Source organism: Homo sapiens, chromosome 7 (assembly GCF_000001405.40).
Source record: "Homo sapiens chromosome 7, GRCh38.p14 Primary Assembly".
NCBI lineage: Eukaryota > Metazoa > Chordata > Mammalia > Primates > Hominidae > Homo > Homo sapiens.
Window position 1 is genome coordinate 126,233,223 of NC_000007.14, and position 21,849 is coordinate 126,255,071.

At 34.7% G+C, this 21,849-nt stretch overlaps 1 long non-coding RNA gene across 2 annotated transcripts; it reads left to right on the forward strand.

Moving 5' to 3' along the window:
- Nucleotides 1-347: 347 nt before the first annotated feature.
- Nucleotides 348-20,426, forward strand: LOC105375488 (uncharacterized). 2 transcript variants are annotated; one of them, XR_927935.1, is made up of 4 exons: nt 348-390; nt 13,411-13,492; nt 17,929-18,001; nt 20,353-20,426. It is a non-coding gene; the product is annotated as an uncharacterized LOC105375488 (long non-coding RNA). The 2 variants fall into 2 exon arrangements; XR_927934.2 differs by lacking the exon at nt 348-390 and adding an exon at nt 511-661.
- Nucleotides 20,427-21,849: the final 1,423 nt, after the last annotated feature.

Sequence of the window (21,849 nt, forward strand, 5' to 3'; positions counted from 1 at the left end):
AGATGATTTCCACCTGAGAGGTGGTGGATGATGCAGATGGGCATTCATGGAGGAGCAAGCATGTGAGCTGGGCTTTCAACAGTGGTAAGGAAGAGTGGGCTTTGGAAAAACAGAGAGGAAGGTGTAAGGAGAAGGCTTTCAAAGCAAAAGCAGGAGGACAGACAGAGCAATCCGATTCCCCAGAGACTTAAAAGTGATACAATGCAACTAAAACAGTTATGTTAAAGGAAATACAATAGGGAAATTAGGAGATCTAGTTTTTGGTGTGTCTTGAGCACCACGTAAAGAATTTTGACTTTTTTTTTTTTTCCTAGACAGGGTCTTGCTGGAGTGCAGTCCCAGGCTGAAGAGAACCTCTCACCTCAGCTCCCAGAATTGCTAGGACTACAGGTACACACCACCATGCTCAGTTGATTTTTGTATTTTGTATTTTTTGTAGAGATGGGGTTTCACCATGTTGTCCAGGCTGGTCTCGAACTCCTAAGCTGAAGCAACATGCCTGCCTAGGCCTCCCGAAGTGCTGAGATTACAAGAATGAGCCACCACACCCAGCCAAGGATTTTGACTCTTATCCTATGAATAATGAGAAGCTGCTGGAGTGTTTTAAACTAGCAAGAAAACTAACAAAGTTTGCATGTTGGAAAATGTGCTTGGCAATAAGGTGATGGTTGTCAAACATTTTTGCTTCCATACTTCTTAAAACTATTGGGACAATAATGTAGTCATTATAAAGATGCTTCCCAAAACCAGTATTTTGAATTGGGATCTTGTGAGGAGGAAGTGGGAGAGAATTACTAGCATGAAACTTTGATCACAGAATCATTTATCCTCAGGCATGTCAGTTCTAGAGAGAGTCACTCATGGAAATGGAGGCTCTGGAAACTGATCCTCTTAAAATTACCGAATTCCATGTGTTTCTTGGAAAACAGTCATTTGCTACATGTTGGTCAGTTAAGCAGTTCTGTCTCACTGGACCAGGATTGGCTGATCTTGGCTTGAGCTTCTCTTTCATCCGTGATGTACCAGTAGGTAGACTGGAGCCTCACTGGTCTCAGATCACCTCATTCTCATATACTGGCTGACTGTCAGCTGGGCAGGTGAAGGTCACAGAACCATGAATATCTTATTATCCACCATTCTAGTTCAGATTTGAATACACGGAGGTGGCAAAGTACCAGAAGAGAGCAGAAACAAATAAAAAAGCCATCTTACAGGCTTAGATCTGCATCATTATATCTGCTATGTTGAATAAAAACATGTTTCACAAGTTCAGCCCAGAATCAAGGGGTCAGAAAATAGACTCCAATCTCATGATCAGAATCGTTGCAAAGTTACATCACAAAAAGCATGGACAGAGAGAGGGAAAGAATTCTGGTCACTTTTGCAATAAACCACAGTGGTGATTTAAGAGGGCCTCTGAGATTTCAGAGTCGGACTACTTTAAAAAGAATTGCCTGACATGAGCAGATAGGTTGTATCAGTGGAAAGATTAATCCAGAGTGTGGAGGTTAATGAAATAGCTAAGCTTTTGGTGGTCTAGCGTGGTAAAGCAGGAGTAAAGGGTAAGTGGAAAAGAAGAAAGAGTGGACAAGATTAGGTAAATTATTGATTATAGAAATAGCAAAATTTTCTCTAAAATTTATTGTAATTAACTCTAATTTAAATATAGATTAAATTAAATTCATTTACATTGAAACATCCTTGGTGCAGTAATCTATATCTAAATTTGGTCAACTTTATTATAGATTTAGATAAGTGTTGAATGCTAGTCTTTTGAAAAAGACTTTGAGACCATTTAAGCCAGCCCCTTCACTTAATGAATGAGAAAATAAAATGCATTTTTTCAGTAATATATAGAAGTGATATTCTTTTCACTCATAAATAAAGAAAATTTGGCAAAACACAAGTGATTCCAGAAGCAGTAGTAATAGAAATAAGGTAACTCTTAATTGTGTGTTCCAAGAGGTAATGTCAAGATATGAGTAAAAGAAATCTACAAGTGATATAAAATGCAATTTTCATTAACTTCAACTGCTCTTCCTTTCAAGTCTCCAATAACTGATCTGCATTTTATTCTAAATCATAATTTATGGAGAATGGAAGGAATCTTGGAGAAAATTGCGTCCAAATGCTTTGAAAGTATGTTTTTAGGGCTTCTCAGATGTACCGTATGCACTGCTGAGAGGGCAGGGCTGTAGTCTTCTGATCTCAACCCAGAACAATCTCCTGTTATCTGCCTCGCACACAAGGATCTAATGTAGAATTTTTTTGGTAAGGTTTTTAAGGGTACAAATGTTTCTTCTTTTTTTTTTTTTTTTTTTTTTTTTTTTTTTTTTTTTTTTTTTTTTTGTTAAACCACACAGTGATCTTCTCCAACACACTGTTACATGAGAAAATTGACCTAAGACTAAGTAAAGTCACTTGATGAAAATTATAGAGCTAGTTGTTGACAAAGCGATGGCAAAGATGCATGTTTACGAACTCCTGACTCCCTGCCCACTTTGCCCACTTCCTCTACTTTGAGGCAGAAGAAAGTATAAAAGTGAAAGGAAGAGAATATTGCATGATATCCAAAGGCAGAACATGAATTCCAGTAATTGCCTGAGAACTATGGAACTGACTGCAGCTAGAACATACATTTGTTGTGTAAATAGAGTGATAAATATACTAATAAATGCAAACTTGTATGTGAGAATGTAGCTCTCACTGTGAGACCTCGATCTTCAGACTCACAGATACACAAATAGAAACCATCTGTGAGTATTTTTTCATACACATTTTTGCCTAATTCTCTTCATCAGGTGTGATCTTTGGGTGGCTCATCACAGTTCTGCTTAATCAGGCATTCTGATTAATAGTAGCTATATCTATTTCTCAGATAATTGAATTTCCAAGCTTTAGAATTCAGGTAAATACCTTTGACATTAAGCCTATACCAAACAAAACATAATTTGTCTTTGTTGAATCAACAGTCCTAATAATTCAGGTTTATTATGATGAGTTTCATTATCCTCTTATAGCTGATTTGCAAAAGGACCTAAAACCCTGAATTCCCCAAGCTCCAGAATACCACACAACAGGCAGCTGTGCATAAAAGTAAGAGAAATCTCCCTTTCTGCACATTCTGCATGGAAGTTCATGTTTCTGTTTATAGATTTTATACATGACAAATGTTCATTTTGGATTGTAAATAAAGACTGAGGAAGAAGCAGCCCATAGCATCTTGGTAGTTACAACAGATGGCGTTAACCACGTGGGAATGCTTGGGATTCTTCCGTTTCCGTAAGATATAGAAAAATAAATTGTTACATAGTGAGAGCTCTTTCTCGTCCAAATTCCTGGTAAAGTGGATATCAATTATTTCTTGTAGTATTTTAACAGAATATCTAGTGAAAGTTGTATTCACTAAGAATTAGGGAATAATACAACAAAATAAATTATTGAACTAGTAAAATTATTCATTCCAAATGTATACAAATTAATATAATTAATTAATTATCAGTCCTTAAATATTTTCTAAAGCTAAATTTGAAAAGGCAACTTATCCAAGGTAGATAAGTATTATTAAAATAATAATTTGATACAAGGAAATAAAATGTCCTTATTATTACAATATTAAACTTTTAGGAAAACCTCAAGGCAAAATATTTCTCAAAACCAGTTTCTCCAGCAAGGTAGGAATGGAAATGATAGAAAGAGGGTTTCACAGCTGAGAAAGAAGAGTCATCTATATGCTATTATTTTCAAAAATAAAAAATAAAATCCCAAGGGGGGTCTTTGTAAATTGAAAAGTAAGATTATGTCCAAAGATGTCTACATTTGTGTACATACATACAAATTATTGTGTCTATGTCTTATAGTATACAAGAAAGGGGCTCTTTTTATGTACCTTAAAAATTATCAAATTTTATATCAGCAGTCCAAGATTACTTTTTATTTTAAAAACATTTATTTCATACCCAGATTGCATGAAGCACTGTACTAAGTGCTATTATATAACAGTGCTTTCCATTTATGTTTCAGGGTTGTGACTCAGGGCTGAATTGCCCTGTGATTGTGAGAACCTTTATGTCTCTATATATTCCTTATCATCGATCAGTCATTGCCGCAGTTACATACTTAAAATCAGTATAAAATCTTAATGGTTTGGCTGGGCACGGTAGCTCACCTATAATCCCAGCACTTTAGGAGGCCAAAGCAGGAGCATCAATTGAGGCCAGGAGTTTGAGACCAGCCTAGCCACATAGAGAGACTGCATCTCTACAAAAAAATTTAAAAATTAGCTGAGCATGGTTGTGTGAACCTGTAGTCCTAGCTACTTGGGGGCTGAGGTGGGAGGATCACTTTAGCCTAGGAATTCCAGGCTGCAGTGAGCTATGATCACACCACTGCATACCAGCTGGGGTGACAGAGCAAGAACATCTAAATAAATAAATAAATAAATAAATAAATATTGTAATGGTTTTAGGAACAGGTTACTCAGATCACTTTGTCGGTCATCCTCCAGGTAAAGTGTCAATAGAATTACCAAATCTCCACACATAAACTCAACTTGCAAACCCCATAAACGAAGTTTGAGGTTTTGCTAGCCATTTTGGTCTAGGTCATTGACCTTCAAAAACTTTGTTCATATATCTTCTTAAAGTGGTTTTTAAACCCATGCATACACAAATGAATTTTAATTTTGAGTCCTAAATTTCTATCACATACTTAAGTAGTTGTAAAAATGGGATTTCTTTAGAATAACAAATAAATGTGTTCAATGGCCCCTGTCTACAACAGAGAATTAATACCCACCATCAAACGTTTCAAGATGTACATGAATCTGGAGGATATTATACTAAGTGAAACAAGCTAGACACAGAAAGACAAATATTATGTGATCTCATTTACATGTGGAATCTAAAAATGTGGAGCTTATAGAAACAGAGTAGAAAGGTGATTAAAAGGTGGTTACCAGAGGTTGGAGAGTAGAGGAAATGGACAAATGTTGGTCAAAGAATACAAATTTGGAGCTACAAGATAAACTCTGGAAACCTAATGTGCATCATGGTGACTGTAGTTAATAATAATGTACTATATACTTGAAATTTTCTAAGAGAACAGATCTTAAATATTTCCACATACACACACACGCACACACACACACACACACACGGGTAATTATGTGAGGTGATAGAGATATTAATTACCTCGATTGTGGTAATGATTTCACAACGTATATGTATATCAAAATATTGCATTGTACACCTTGAATATATATAATTTTCCTCTGTGAATTCTCTTTGTGTGTGTGTGTGTGTGTATGTGTGTGTGTGTGTGTATCTCCAAGGCTTTTCCTAATGGTCATAAATTTTACATTATTTTTTTCCTCCTTAAATTCATTTATATTTCACTTCCTTCACAGAACTGATATAATACTAATGCACTGTGGTAATGCAATATATTTTTATTCTGGACAGTTTCATTGATGAACTTCTCAGGTCACCATGTTACCTAACCCCAAAGGACATTTCTGTAATATATATTATTTCTTAATTCTCTATTTAAAAAAGCATGCTAATTGAATATTTTTTAAAAAAACTTCCATGAACATAACATCCTAAAGTTTTACAAAATTTATCTGGAATTGGAGTCAATAATGACTAGCACATTGTTAGTAAAAAATATAATTATATTACATTTTATAATAATTATAAAGTAAAAACTAAAATTTTCTTAAAATTAAGATAACGGGGCTTTTTTTATAGTCAATGTGCCATTAAATAATATCATTCGTTGCTAGAATATGAAAGTGTTCAGCAGCTATACCATCCCTAGATGTGAGATCTGGGAAATCTTGTTTGCATAGATAAGTAGATGAGTATGGAAAGAGCTTTGCAACTAAATTCTCTGAACTTTTGAGTTGTATCCCAAATATCACCGGGACCTCTTTCATCAGACTTTATTCTTATCATCTGTTAGTAGACAGCTTGTTTTTTGTTTTAATTTTGTGTGAATAAATGAAGTATAAATACTTTATTTGAACAATGATTAGTACACATTAGACTTATTCACTTTTTCAAAACCGACACTTACTTAAGTGCCTCTACGGTTACTTTTAATGCCTTGAGAGACATCCCTATCTTTTGTACAATATGAAATGAATACCCTAGTTTGAACACCAATAGACTAGTAGATCTATGGTCTCTTCCCTGTTTACTGTGGATATGCTGAGACTATATTGCTATATAGGCACCATTAACTCTATTCTTTCCAACACCAGCAAAAGTAGAGAGGATATAATGATAGAAACGAAGAAGAGAGAACAGAAAAAATGAAAGTGTTTTGAGAACATGATGAATGTTACATCATATATGATAAAACATCCCACAGGAGGAACCATTCTGAAAGGCAAGGTACAAATACTAAAAGAATATGACTGCCTCATTTTAAAATATTCAGGAACAAGATATGTAAACTCTTCTTTAGCGATGTAAAACTAAAAAAAAAATGTTTCACAATCTAACCTACTATTAAGTAGAATATCTTCTGTATCCATTAAGGCAATATAAAATAGGAAACAATGAACTGTTCGTTAATAGTCAATGCCCATTATTCCCAACAGTGAACTCTGAAAATACGAAGTGGAACAAATGGCTGAGCTATAGTAGCCAATGGGCTTCTAACGTTTCTCAAATTTAAATCTTAATACTAACCAGATACCAAAAACTCCCAATCACCTAACAACTTGTGTGAGAAAAGTTGTTAGGAAATATGCTCATTCAAACTCTGCCCAGCGAGACAGTTTTGGGCTCAGCTTTCTCAATAAGCCATATCAGTGTGCAGAAAAACTCTAAGGTGACCATACTCAAAAAGAGTATCATTTAATAAATAATAATTCTACCAATGTAAAGTTGGTCTAGCAAGTGCTCAGAATGTGACTAAATCAGGTATTTCCTCCTAGATGTGGATGTAAGAAGATGTAGATAGAATGACCCCCATAATGTTAGATAGTAAAGTTGTATATATGCAAAGAGTGTCCAACCTCATCCATCCCAGGCATTAGATCTGTTTGTCCATTGTGATAACTAACAGCCACATGTAGCTACTTAAATTTCAATTACTCAAAAGTAAATATAATTAAATGCTCAGTTCTTCAGCCCCATTTCAAGGCTTAATAGCCACATGTAATTGGTGGGTATCACACTGGACATACAGAAAACAGAATATGTTCAATGATCAAAATGTTGTATTAGGTGATTAACAAACAAGCAGGTAGTCACTTTCAAATTTTTACAGAACAGACATAAAGATTCTTTGTAATATAAGCCTTGTATGATTCAGTCATAACAAGGAATGAATACATTATTTTAATGAATATTAGCATCTGAAAAGTCACATAGATATCATTTGATATATGTAAAAATGTAATGTTTTAAGCACTACCCTAGTGGCCTGTGCATTAATAAACTTCCAAAATTGAGCAACATATGCCTTTCCAAATAATATAAGAAAAAGTCTCAAATGTTTAATCTCATTATGTAAAAATAATTTGTACTAAGACATTCATCTAATTGGAAATAAGAAATAAACAATATAATTAGATCATTGTATAAACAATGATTTTCTTCTTGATTTTAAGGCTCCAAAACATAGCCTTGTAGTATAACTTGAAGTTAAGCAATGTGATTCTTTCAAATGTGTTCTTCTTGCCTACGATTGCTTTGGCTATTTGCACTTTTTGTTTGTTTATTTATATATGAACATTAGGATTTTTTTTCTAATTCTGTGAAAAGTGATATTGATAGTTTCACAGGAACTGTGATGTATCTGTAGATTGCTTTGGGCAATACGGTCATTTTAACAATATTGATCCTTCCAATCCATGAGCATAGGATGTTTTGTTTGTGTTATTTACAATTTCTTTCATCAGTGTTTTATAGGTCTCCTTGTAGGGATCTTTTGCCTCCTTGGTTAAATGTAGTCCAGATTTTCTGTGTCTGTGTGATATGGTTTGGCTGTGTCCCCACCCAAATCTCGTCTCAAATTGTAGTTCCCATAATCCCTATGTGTCATGGGAGGGACACAGTAAGAGGTAATTGGATCATAGAGGTGATTACCTCCTGCTGTTCTTGTGATAGTGATTGAGTTCTCAGGAGATCTGATGGTTTTACAAGGGGCCTTTCCTCTACTTCGCTCTGCACTTCTCTTTGTTGCCATCATGTGAAAAACGACATGTTTGCTTCTGCTTCTGCCATGATTATAAGTTTCCTGAGGCCTCCCCAGCCAGCTGATCTGTGAGTCAATTAAACCTCTTTCCTTTATGAATTACCCCATCATGGGTATGTCTTTATTAGCAGCCTGAGAGTGGACTAATACTGTGTGGCTACTGTAAATGGGATTGAGTTACTGATTTGGTTGGCAGCTTGAATGTTATGGATGTGTAGAAACGCTGCTGATTTTTATACATCGCTTTTGTATCTTGAAACTTTACTGAACATGTATATCAAGTCTAGGAGTCTTTGGGAGGAGTATTTAGTGCTTTCCAGGTATACAGTCATGTTATCAGTGAACCGAGATAATTCGACTTACTCTTTCACATTTTGTACGCCTTTTATTTCTTTTTCTTGCCTGATTGCTCTGGCTGGGACTTGCAGTGCTATGAACAGGAGTGGTCAGAGTGGACATCCTTGTCTTGTTTCAGTTCTTAGGAGAAATGCTTTAAACTCTTCCCCATTCTGTATGATTTTGACCTTGGGGTTGTAATATATGACTTTCATTATTTTTAGATACGTTCCTTCAATGCCTAGTTTATTGAGGGTTTTCATTATAAGGGATGTAGAATTTTATGAATTTTTTCTGCATCTGCTGAGATGATCATATGATTTTTGTTTTTACTTCTGTTTATACATTGTGATTATTATAATGTGATATAGATGTAAGTGTATGTGTGCGCTCATTGCTTTTTTAATCAAATTTTATGCCTTGTATTATAACCATAAATGCATATTATAACTATGAATTTTAAGTGCATAGTTTGACAAATTTTGACAAATGTACACACCTTTGTAACTGTACCACAATTAGGTTATAAAGCATTTACATCAACCCAAAACCCAAAACTTTGCAGGTGATGTGGTTTGGCTCTGTGTCCCCACCCAAATCTCATCTCCAATTGTAATCCACACATGTCAAGTGAGGGACCTGGTGGGAGGTGATTGCATCATGGGAGCAGTTTCCCTCATGCTATTCTCATGACAGTGAGTGAGTTCTCACAAGATCTGATGGTTTAAGAATGTGGCACTTCTCCCGTCACTCTCTCTCACCTGCCACGATGTAAGATGTGTTTTGCTTCCCCTTCATCTTCCATCATGATTGTAAGTTTTCTGAGGCCTTTCCAGCCATGTAGAACTGTGAGTCAATTAAACCTCTTTTCCTTATAAATTACCCAGTCTCATGTAGTATCTTTATAGCAATGTGAAGATGAAATAATACAGCAATATTCTTCACCCCAACACCAGTCCCTGGAGAACACTAATCTGTTTTACATCACTATAGATTAAATTAAGCTTTTCTAAAGTTTTATATAAATGGAATCATACACTCTATTGCATCATGTCTGGTTTCCTTCATTCTGGATATTTTGAGAAATACTCCATGTTTTTGTGTATTAAAAAATTCTTTTTAAACTTAGTAGTATTATTATGTTATGACATACCATAATGTGTTAATCATTGACTTGATGATTGACAGTTGGATTGTTCTCAGTTTGGGGCTTTTATGAATAAAACTACTGTAAATACTTGCACACAAGTTTTTAAATGAACATATGTTTTCATAACTCTTGGGTAAATAATTAATTGAATGGGATTTCAAGATTATGTGATAAGTTTAACTTAATGGATTTTCCAAACTATTTTAAAACTTGGTGGTACTACTTTCATTTTCAAAAACACTATTGGAGACTTCTGTGTAGTGGTATTTCTTCTGGTTTTATTTTGCATTTCCCTGATGAAAAAAGAAGCATCCTTTCTAGGGTTTATTGGCTCTTTTTATACCCTGTATGAAATATATGTTGAAAAATTTTATTGAATGTCTTTGTTTATTATACAGTCATAAATGTTCTTTACTTATTCCTTACATCTACTGCATACAAATAAAATATATGTATTGCACAACTATTTTCTTCCAGCCTATGGTCTGGTTTTCTTTTCATTTTCTTAAAAGTGACTTTCAAATAATAGATTTCCATATTTACCAAATCAAATTTGTACAACTTTTACTGTATAGTTTCTTTTCTGATTTTTTGTGTTTATTTAAGAAATCTTAATCTATCCAAGGTTAGGGAGATTTTCTTCCCTCTTTTCTTCCAAAAGTGTTACAGTTTCTATCTTTATGTTTAGGCCAATGATCAGTTTTGTGTTAATTTTTACATATGATGTAAAGTAAAGGAATTTTAAAAATATGAATATGTAGTTGTTCTAGAACCCTGTTTTGAAGACTATCTTTCTCCAATGAATTGCTTTAGCACCTTTTGAAAATCAATGACCATATATGTGTGGTTATATTAATGCACTCTCTATTACTTTTCATTCATCGACATGTATTTCCTTAGCCAATACTATGCAGTCTTGATTGCTGTAACATCGTAATTAGTCTTGAAAAAAGTAATGTAAGTTCTCTTTTTCTTTTTTCCTCAAAATTGTTTTAGTTTTCTAAGCTCTTAAGGTTTCCATATAAATTCAGAATTGGCTTGTCAACTCTGCAAAGAAAAGCTTGCTGAGATTTTGGCTGGCATTTTATGGAATCCATGAATCAATTTAGAAATATTATCCATCTTAAAGATATCAAATCTTCCTACTCATGAATCTTATATACTTTCATAATTTTTAAAAATTTTTCCCAGCAAGGATCAGTAGTTTTGAATGAACAAATTTTCATGGGTATAGTTAAATTTGTGTTAAGTAGTTTATGCTTGTTGATGCTGTTTAACCTTCAATTCCCAGTTTCATTTTTCCATATTTAGAAATACAATTAATTTTTACATTCGCTTTGTATCTTGTGATCATGTTAAACTCAATTGTTTGTTTTATACTATCTTTGTAGGTACACTTTAGTTTTCTATGTTCATAATAATGTTTTATGCCAGTAAAGACAATCTATCTAAATGATCCTTCTTCCCAAATGGTACCTCTTTCCAAAGGGTATGTACCTTGTTTTATTTTCTTGCCTATCACACTAATAGAACTGCCAATACAAGATTGAAGAGAAGCACTAAAATAGTGCTCAATAGCTGATAGAAAAAATATCAACTATCTCAATACCTGATAGAAAAAATACATAGAAAGTTTCATCCTTATACTGCTTATAAGGAAAACAACTCAAATATATGGAGCCAGATATGTTGAAAGTAAAAGAATGAAAAATTTTGAAGAGGAAAAGGTTATGCAAAATGTAACCAAAAGAAGACTGATATTACTATATAATTTTATTTCTAAGAGACAGGATCTCACACTGTTGCCCAGACTGGAGTGCAGTGGCCTGATCATAGCTCACTGCTGCCTCAAACTCTTAGGCTCAAGTGACACTCCTGCCTAAGCCTCCCAAGTAGCCAAGAAGAAAGGCATTTGCCACTTGCCTCTACTTGGCTATATATATATATATATATTTGTTTTTTTGGTAGAGGCAGGTTCTTGCCATATTGGCCAGGCTGGTCTCAAACTTCTGTCCTTAAGTGATCCTTTCCCCTCAGCATCCCAAAGAACTGAGATTACCGGCATGAACCACCACATTCAGCCCTGTAATATTTTGAAAATTGATTTGGTCAAAAAATTACTATAGACATAAAATGACAGTTCTCTAGGAAGCTATAACAATTTTATCTTTTTTTACTTTTAAGTTCATGGGTACATGTGCAGGTTTGTTATATAGGTAAACTTGTATAATGGGGGTTTGTTGTACAGGTTATTTCATCTTCCAGGTATTAAGCCTAGTACCCATTAGTTATTTTTCCTGATCCTCTCCCTCATCCCATTCTCCAACCTTCAATAGGTTGTTCTCCTCTATGTGTCCATGTGGAAGCTATAACACATGTGTATACTCAATTTCATACTCTTAAGAAATACAATAATAAATAGATATACAATTATAGTGGGAAACTTCTGCAGACTATTCTGAATAGCTGATAGAAAAAAATATACAAACTATCAATACTGCTAATCAAGTAGGTATGAATAACTAATACACGTGACACAGTTGACATACATAAAGCACTGCACTCAAAAATTAAAGACTACATATAGTTTTCAGGTGCAAATGGAACATTTACCAATATTGCTCATATTGTAGTTTAGAGAGAAAGCTTAAATAATATTCACTCGATTCTGTTGGGAGGCCGAGGTGGGCAGATCACAAGGTCAGGAGATCGAGACCATCCTGGCTAACACGGTGAAACCCCGTCTCTACTAAAAATACAAAAAAATTAGCCAGGCATGGTGGCGGGCACCTGTAGTCCCAGCTACTTGAGAGGCTGAGGCAGGAGAATGGCGTGAACCCAGGAGGTGGAGCTTGCAGTGAGCCGAGATAGCGCCACTGCACTCCAGCTTGGGCGACAGAGCGAGACTCCGTCTCAAAAAAAAAAAAAAAAAAAAGAATATATTATCTGACCATTAACAAATGAATTAAGGTAGACATACCTAACAAAAGTACATTTAGAAAATCTATAACTACCTGAAAATTAAGCAATAAACTCTATTGTGCAAGGGTCAAAAACAACCACTGAATGTAGAAGACATTATGAAATGAATGACAATGAAGACACGCATATCAAAACAGCTAACACATTACAGAGGAAAATGTATGGTCTTACGTACACACTGTCAGGAATGTAAGACCGAAAATTAATTAGTTGTTCCGATTTTAAAAAGCTAAAAAATTAATAAATAAAAAATTTTTAAAGTAGAAATAAAATAGTGATAAATACATAGTAGAGAAATTAATACAAAATTTAGTAAATTGTAAAGATTAACAATTCACTCCATAAGTAAAATAAATGAGTGAAATAAATCAATAAAAACACAGAAAACAAGATTGCTAATATCAGGAATGTAAAGATGATATTGCTCTCCCTTATTTTTTATTGATATGTAATAATAATATATATTTTTGGAGTACATGTGATATTTTGAAACGTTCATACAGTGTGTAATGATCAAACTGGGGTACTTAGGATATCTATCACCTGAAACTTTAGTCTTTTGATTGTGTTGGGAAGATTTCCAGTCTTCTCTTCTAGCTATTTTGAATATACAATAAATGATTTGTATCTATAGTCACTCTACTATGCTATCAAACACTAAAACATATTCTTTCTAACTGTATTTGCACCCATTGACCAATCTCTATTCATGTTCCCTTCTCCCACACCAGCCATTTCCAGCTTCTGGTAATCATTCTATTCTCTACTTCAATGAGATCAACTTCTGTGGCTCCCACATATGCCTGAGAACAGGTAATATTTATCTTTTTATGCTTGGTTTATTTCACTTAACATAAAGACCTCCAATTCCATCCTTGTTGCCTTCAATTACAGAAGTTCATTATTTTTACAAACTTTTGAATAGCATTTCATTGTGTATATATATACCACATTTTCTTTACCCATTCATCCATTGGTGGACACTTAGGTTGATACTGTATCTCCTGCTATTGTGGATAGTGCTGCAATAAACATGCGGGTGCAGGGTTCCCAATGATATACTAATTTCCTTTTCTTTGGATAAATATGTAGTAGTGTTGTTGCTGGATTGCATGATAGTTCTACTTTCAATTTTTTAACAAAACTCTATTTGTTTTCCATAATGGCTGGACTAATTTACATTACCACCAGTCGTGTATGAGGGTTCCCTTTTCTCTTCAGACTTGCAAGTATTTGTTATTTTAGTCTTTTGATAATAGGCATTCTAACTGGGACGAGATGATATGATCTTATTGTGGTTTTAACTTGCATATCCTTGGTTATTAGTAATGTTGGGCCTTTTTTCATACATCTTCTGGCTCTGTTTTCTTTTGAGAAATAGCTATTCGGATGCTTTGACCACTTTTTAGTGGGAGCATTTGTTTTGTGAGTATTTGTTTTGTTGCTGTTGAGTTGTGTGAGTGTTTTGTCTATTCTGGATGTTGGTCCCTTGTTGGATGAATAGTTTGCAAATATTTTCTCACATTTCATAGATTGTCTCTTTACTATCTAGACTGTTTTCTTTGCTGTGCAGAAGCTTTTAGTTTAAGCCTTATTTGTCTATTTTTGTTTTTGTTGTTTTTGCTTTTAAATCCTTAGCCATAATATCTTTTCCTACACTAATGTGCTGAAGCGTTTTCCATATTATTTTCTTCTAGTAATTTTATAGTTTTGAGTCTTATGTGTTAGTCTTTAGTCAACTTTAAGTTGATATTTGTATATGGTATGAGATAGGGGTTTAGCTTCATTCTTCTGCATACAGTTAATCGGTTTTCCCAGAACCATGTGTTAAAGAAGGTGTCCTTCCTGCAATGTATGTTCTTAGTGTTTTTGACAATATCAGCTGGCTCTAAATACATGGATTTCTTTCTTGGCACTCTATTCTGCTTCATTGGTCTATGTGTCTATTTTCATAGCAATACCATATTGTTTCAGTTACTATAGCTTTGTAGCATATTTTCAAGTCAGGTGGTGTGACACCTCTGGCTTTGTTCTTTTCCCTCAGGTACCTTGGTGACTTGGGCCTTTGTAGTTCCACATGAATTTTAAGGTGTTTTCTTCCTAAGAAAATGAAGAGTGCCATTGGTATTTTAATAGGGATTGCATTAAATATGTAAATAACTTAACTCATGTTACTTTGTGTTGGTGTGCTCAGGATTTCTATTTCTTCCTGGTATTATGGATATTTTAACATTATTAATTCTTCCAATCCAAAAGTATGGCATGTCTTTCCATTTTTTGTGTCCTCTTAAAATTCTTTTGTTTTTATTTTTTATTTTTTTTATTTTTTGTTTTTTTGAGACAGAGTCTCGCTCTGTCACCCAGGCTGGAGTGCAGTGGCACGATCTCGGCTCCCTGCAAGCTCCGCCTCCCAGGTTCACGCCATTCTCCTGCCTCAGCCTCCCGAGTAGCTGGGACTACAGGTGCCTGCCAGCACGCCTGGCTAATTTTTTGTATTTTTAGTAGAGATGGGGTTTCACCATGTTAGCCAGGATGGTCTCGATCTCCTGACCTGGTGATCCGCCCGCCTCGGCCTCCCAAAGTGCTGGGATTACAGGCGTGAGCCACCAAGACCAGCCATTAAAATTCTTTAATCAGTATTTTGTAGCTTTCATTATAGAGGACAGTCACCTTATTGCTTAACTTATTCCCATGTTTTATTTTCTTATACTGATTGTAAATGGGATTCCTTTTTTGATGTCTTTTTCAGCTAGTTTTTAAAATTAGCATATAGGAATACTATAGGTTTTTGTATACTGATTTTGAATCCTGAAACTTTACTAAGATTTGTATATAGTTCTGAGATTTTTGGTGAAGTCTTTAGATTTTTCTATATATGAGATCATGTCACCAATGAAAAGGGACAATTTGACTTCCTCTTTTATTTCTTTTGCTTGCTCATTTACTCTGGGTAGGACTTCCAGTACTATGTTGACTAACAGGAGTGAAAGTTGGCATTCTTGTCTTGTTGCAGTTCTTACAGAAAAGGCATTCAGACCTCATTCAGTACGTCATCTGTTAGTTTGTCATATATATCTTTTATGATGTTGAAGTATGTTTTTTTTTCTATGCCTAATTTGTTGAGCGTTTCTATCAGGAAGGGAGGTTGAATTGTATCCAATTCATTTTCTGCATCTATTGAGATGATCATATGATTTTTGTCCTGCATCTTGTTGATGCAATATATTGTCGTTATTGATTTGTGTATGTTGAGCCATCCTTGCATCCCAGGAGTAAGTCCCACTTGATCATGGTGTGGTGTGTTATCTTTTGTTTTTTTTTTTTGTTGTTTGTTTGTTTGTTTGTTTGTTTTAGATGGAGTCTCACTTTGTCACCAGGCTGGAGTGCAGTGGCGACATCTGGGCTCACTGCAACCTCCACCTCCTGGGTTCAAGCAATTCTCCTGCCTCAGCCTCCCAAGTAGCTAGGACTACAGGCACATGCCACCATGCCTGGCTCATTTTTGTATTTTTAGTAGAGACAGGGTTTCACCGTGTCAGCCAGGATGGTCTCGAACTCCAGACCTCATGATCCGCCTGCCTTGGCCTCCCAAAGTGCTGGGATTACAGGCATGAGCCACTGTGCCCAGACTTGATATGTTCTTGAATTAAGTTTTCTGGTATTTTATTGAGGGTGTTTTCAACTTGGTTTATCAGGAATATTGGCCTGTAGCTTTCTTTTTTGTTGTGTCCATGTCTAGTTTTAGTATCAGGATAACAATGGTTCATAGAATGAGTTAGGAAGGTTTATAGTCTCTTCAATTTTTTAGAATAGTTTGAGAAAAAATAATGTTAGTTTTTCTTTATAGGTTTCGTGTAATTTAGTAGTAAAACCATTTGTTCCTGAGCTTTCCTTTGTTGGGAGACATCTTATTACTGCTTCAGTCATGTTACTTTGTGTTGGTGTGCTCAGGATTTCTATTTCTTCCTGGTTTATTCTTGGTAGGTTGTATGTGTTTAGGAGTTTATTTGTTTCCTCTAGGTTTTCCAATTTGTTAGCATATAGTTTTTTATAATAGGTTATCATGATTTTTTGTGTTTCTCTGGTATGTCTACTTTTTCATTTCTGATTTTATTCATCTGGGTTTTTTTCCTCTTTTTTTTCTTAGATAGTCTAAGTAGTAGTTTATCATTGTTTTTCCTTTCCAAAAACCAACTTTCATTTTGTTGATTTGTTCCCAAGGATAGACATATATGCCAGAGAAATACAGAGCCCAGAACAGATCTGCATACATTCCTGACAAATATAACATATAAAATGATAAGAAAAGGATGATCTTTTTAATAAACAGTGCTTGAGAAATTGTCTATATGAAGAAACTTAATTTATTATTTACCTTATATATTTTAATTTTAAACATAAAAAATTGAAAAATCAAACATCTCTTCACTTTTAAAAGAAAAAAACGAAAATCCTTATGACTTTGCTATAGGTAAATATTTAATATGCTAAACATAGAATCCCTAATAATTGAGATACATTATATTAAGAACTTCCCTCCATTGAGAGAACAAATCATGAAGCCACTGGAAGGAAAATTTATTTGATATACATATGTATTGCAAAATAATTGTATCCTGAATAGCACAAACCAATTAAAAATGCAGACAAACGCCACCCAAAAATGTACAAAATATACAAGCATTTAACGAATATAATATTGAAATATAACAAATGAAAAGGTGCTCTAAATCCACAATGAAATACCATGAAACACCCACCAGAAAGGCTAAAATGACAAAAAAAAAAAAAGTTAAAAAAGAAAATAACAAAGCAGTGGCAAGGATATTCAGCAACTAGAACTCTCATATGCTTCTGAGGAGAGTCTGCAACATCATCTGAAAAAGTGCTCACTATTATCCATGAACACAGACACAGCCTACAATACAGTGATTCCACCCTATGGTATATATTTCCCAAAATATGTATGTTTGTCAAAACACATACGCATACACAAACACATTTAGAAGTTCATATAAGCAGTATTTCAACAGCCTAAAATTGGAAATAAGACAACTACGGCAAGCAAAATAAACTTCACAAAATAATACATAATGTAGTTTCCATTCATACAAAATTTTAAAAGCAGCAAACTGATCTATGATGTTAGAATTCAGGATGGTGGTTTATGCTGTGCTGGGGAGCTTGTGACTGCAAGAGTGCATAAGAGGAATTCTGCAGTGCTAGCAGTATATTATTTCTTTATACAGATGCTGGTTACGTGAGTGTGCTCACTTTGATTTGTGTGTGTTCCTGTACGTTATACTTCAATACATTTTATTGGTGAGTTGTTGTGTATGAATTTGATCACTTCCCAACACCTACACTATTATTACTCTGATAACATCTACACTATTATTACTCTGATTCAAGCTGTCATTATCCATTGACTTAATGTTTCTATAGCACCATTTCTTATCCCACCTATACCAATATCACAGTCACTATCTTGATTCCTCTTCCATTTAGTCCTCACAGAACAGTCAGATTTGTTTTTTGAAAACTCTTCTACTCAAAGTTCTTCAATGGCTTTCTGTTTCACCAAGAGAAATAAAATCAGTGCTCCCAATGCTATACAAGTTTAAATATGCTTTGCTACCTCTCTAAGCTAATTTCCTTCCAATTCCTTCATTCAGGCCCCAGCTACATAGACTTCCTTGCTATTATACAACAACATTTAGTGCTTCAGGCCATTTACACTAGCTGACCTCTACCTGCTACATTTTTCTATATATCTGCCTGGCTCACTCCCTTCCTTCCCACAGGTTTCCACTTAAATATCACCTTGGCAGAAGTGCTTTTCTTAATCACCCTATAAAATTGCAATCCCATTCCTCTTCAGTTTTCCCTTATCACCTTGAGATTATTTTAGCTTTCTTCATAGCACTTATCAACACCTAACATAGCACAACTAATTTGTTTATGAATTTATTGTCAGTCCTTTTTGATTTAAATGAAAGTTCTCTTAAGGGAGAGAGTTTATATGTTTTCTTCTTGTTTTATCTCCAGTACCTACAGCACTGGCCCCGTGTAGAAACTAAGTAAATATTTGTTGACTTAAACAACTAATATCCTTAGGTGGATATGTGATGTGATAAAAATGTATAACTTTTTCCTCTCTGGATTGAAATTATGAGCTTGGAGTCCATACTTGAGAATCCTAGGCCTATATTTCCTATCTTACCTCTTTTAAAAACCCAATTACCACTAGATTCTCTTGATTAGCCATCATGACTCCAAGACTCATGTAGCCTTCCTAATTCTAGTGGAATATAGAATGGTTAGCAGGCAAGATAGAGAAACTTTGCCCACTAAGAGGTAACCAGAGAAATCCTATTTTATTGACTTCTCTTTTATTAGCCAGATGTGCCTATAAAAACTGCACTGAACAATATCTGTTTATAAGAATTTAAAAATTGTAAAACATCAAGATCAAACTATTTTCTAAACTAATCATAAAACCATACATTTTAAAAATCAAAAGAAAATATGACTTTTTCATAAATTTAAACAAATAAACAAACAAGGAAACATAAAGTAACAAGGGAAAGATAGTGCCAAAAGTTACATTTTGTAACTTTGCAGTATGACCATGCTGAGAAAATATTGAAAAAACAAGCACCATCACAAAGAATAATAGGCCATTGGGAACATAATAAGGAAAATAGAGAACATGAGATTCAAGAAGCTCTACTGCAATCATTTTACCCCTGAGATACCTGTGGTGTTACAAACAACCACAGCCTTAATTTCAACAAACATTTATACAAGGGAAGTATGGGAACCATCAACTCAGGGTGCCACAAACTAGCAGAAATGGAGCCCTATTTTTCCAGATGGTATGTGTGTATATGTGAAGATGTATGTGTGTGCCTGTTTGTGTGTGTATATGTACACATATGTGTGTATGTGTGTTTTGAGGGGGTAGTCAGTATATCTACATGTGTGTATTTTTTAGTTTATGTAATTATCAACATTTAAAAATGGAATAATTTCTGGCCGGGCCCAGTGGCTCACACCTGTAATCCCAGCACTTTGAGAGGCCGAGGGAGGTGGATCACTTGAGGCCAGGAGTTTGAGACCAGCATGGCCAAGATGGTGAACTCCATCTCTACTAAAAATACAAAAATTAGCTGAGTGTGTGATGGTACACGCCTGTAATCCCAGCTACTCAGAGGGCTGAGGTATGAGAATCACTTGAACCTGGGAGGTGGAGGTTGCAGTGAGCTGAGATGGGGCCACTGCACTCCAGCTTTGATGACAGAGGGAGACTTTGTCTCAAAAAATAAATAAATAAAATAAAATAAATAAAAATAGAAATTGAATAATTTCACATAAAATTGTGATTTATAGTCTGATTTGAAAAATCAAAGTATTTTTTTAAATGTATTCCCACTTGGCAACAATAGGCTATACTTGAGTGGTAGTCACCCTTATTAGAGGGTCATGTGCCTCCAAATTTATCAAATACCCATGCGTTTTCCTCCCTTTGGCCCATTTTTGTCACAACCAATCAATTTCACTAAGTTATGTTTAATGCTTGTTATGAGTAGGCACTTTTATTTAAAATTATATATTAACTTATTTAATTTAATGAATTTCTTGTCTTATTTTTTTCTTTAACCTCTTTTTAGACAACTCCGGTTGGTGACACAGATATAATTATGCATAAAATAAAACAAATAAAATACGTACCCCACAACAAACACTACCAGTGTCCACGTGCCTAGGCTGCGCCTTGGGACTAGCCTGCTCAACCTACCACTGACACCACTGGCACCCATGTGCAATGTCAGGGTGCCTGAAAACTGGTCTTCCATGATCCACATTCACCACCTAGGGACCTGAGCACTAGCCTGTCCAGTCTGCCACTGCTACCACAGTGTATGCACACCCAGTCCAGCTCGCAGAGACTGGCCTGCCCAGGACATACTACTAACACCAGTGCCTGGATACACAATATAGGGGTCTTGAGAAACATGCTCCCTGGCTCTCTTGAGAAACATGTCCCCAGCAAAGCCTTACTACAGCCTCTACAAACAAGCACAGCCTAAGCCATTAGGAACATGCGGACACCACTGACATTGATTATAGCCAAAGAAATCATACAGAAACTACACTACAGTGCCCACTAATAACCAAAGCCAAAGTATCTTATCCAAGTGGCATTATGAAAAAAAAAATCTACAGGAAAAATCTGTTTCTTTATGGAAGCTACTCAATAAAATTAAAAGAAGTGACGGTTACAAGAAATGTATGGATGTAAATGAAAACATAAGAAACATGAGAAAGCAAGGAAACATGACACCTCCAAAGGAATAAAATAATTCTTCAGTAACAGACTCCAAATAAAAGAAAATCTGTGAAATGCCTGAAAAATAATTCAAAATGAAGACATTAAGGAAAATCAGTGAGATGCAAGAGCACACAAATAAAAAATACAGATAAATCATGAAAACAATTTATAATCAAAGAGAAATTTAATAGAGATAGATACTCTAAAAAAAGAACCAAATAGAAACCCCAGAACTGAAGGATTTAATGATTGAAACAGAAATACGTCATCAAGATTGTAAACAATAAACAGGAGCAAGAAGAAGAGAAGATTTCTGAATTTCAATACAGGTCATTTGAAATAACCTATTCAGATAAAAAGAAAGATAGATTAAAAAAAGAATGAAGAAAACCTATGTGACATATGGAACACAATTAAGTGAATAGATATTGATTTTTGGGATTTCCATAAGGAGAAGAGATTTTCTTAAAAGTCGTAGAACCCCAATTTAATAAAGTAATAGCTAAAAACTTCCCAAGTCTTAGGAAAGTGTAAACATCCAAATACAGAAAATGAAAAGATCTCCAAACAGATCCCAGCCCAAGAATTCCTCTCTAAGGCACATTACAGTGAAGCTGTCGAAGTCACAGACAAAAAGAGAATTCTAAAAACATATTACTGGAAGTCCTAGCAAGAGCAGTTAGGGAAGAGAAAGAAATAAAGGGCTTCCAAATGGGAAATGAAAAATTCAAGTTGTCCCTGTTAGCAGACAATATGATATTATATTAAGAAAACCCTAAAAACTATATTAAAAAACTGTTAGAACTGATTAAAAACTCAGATAAGTTGCAGGATG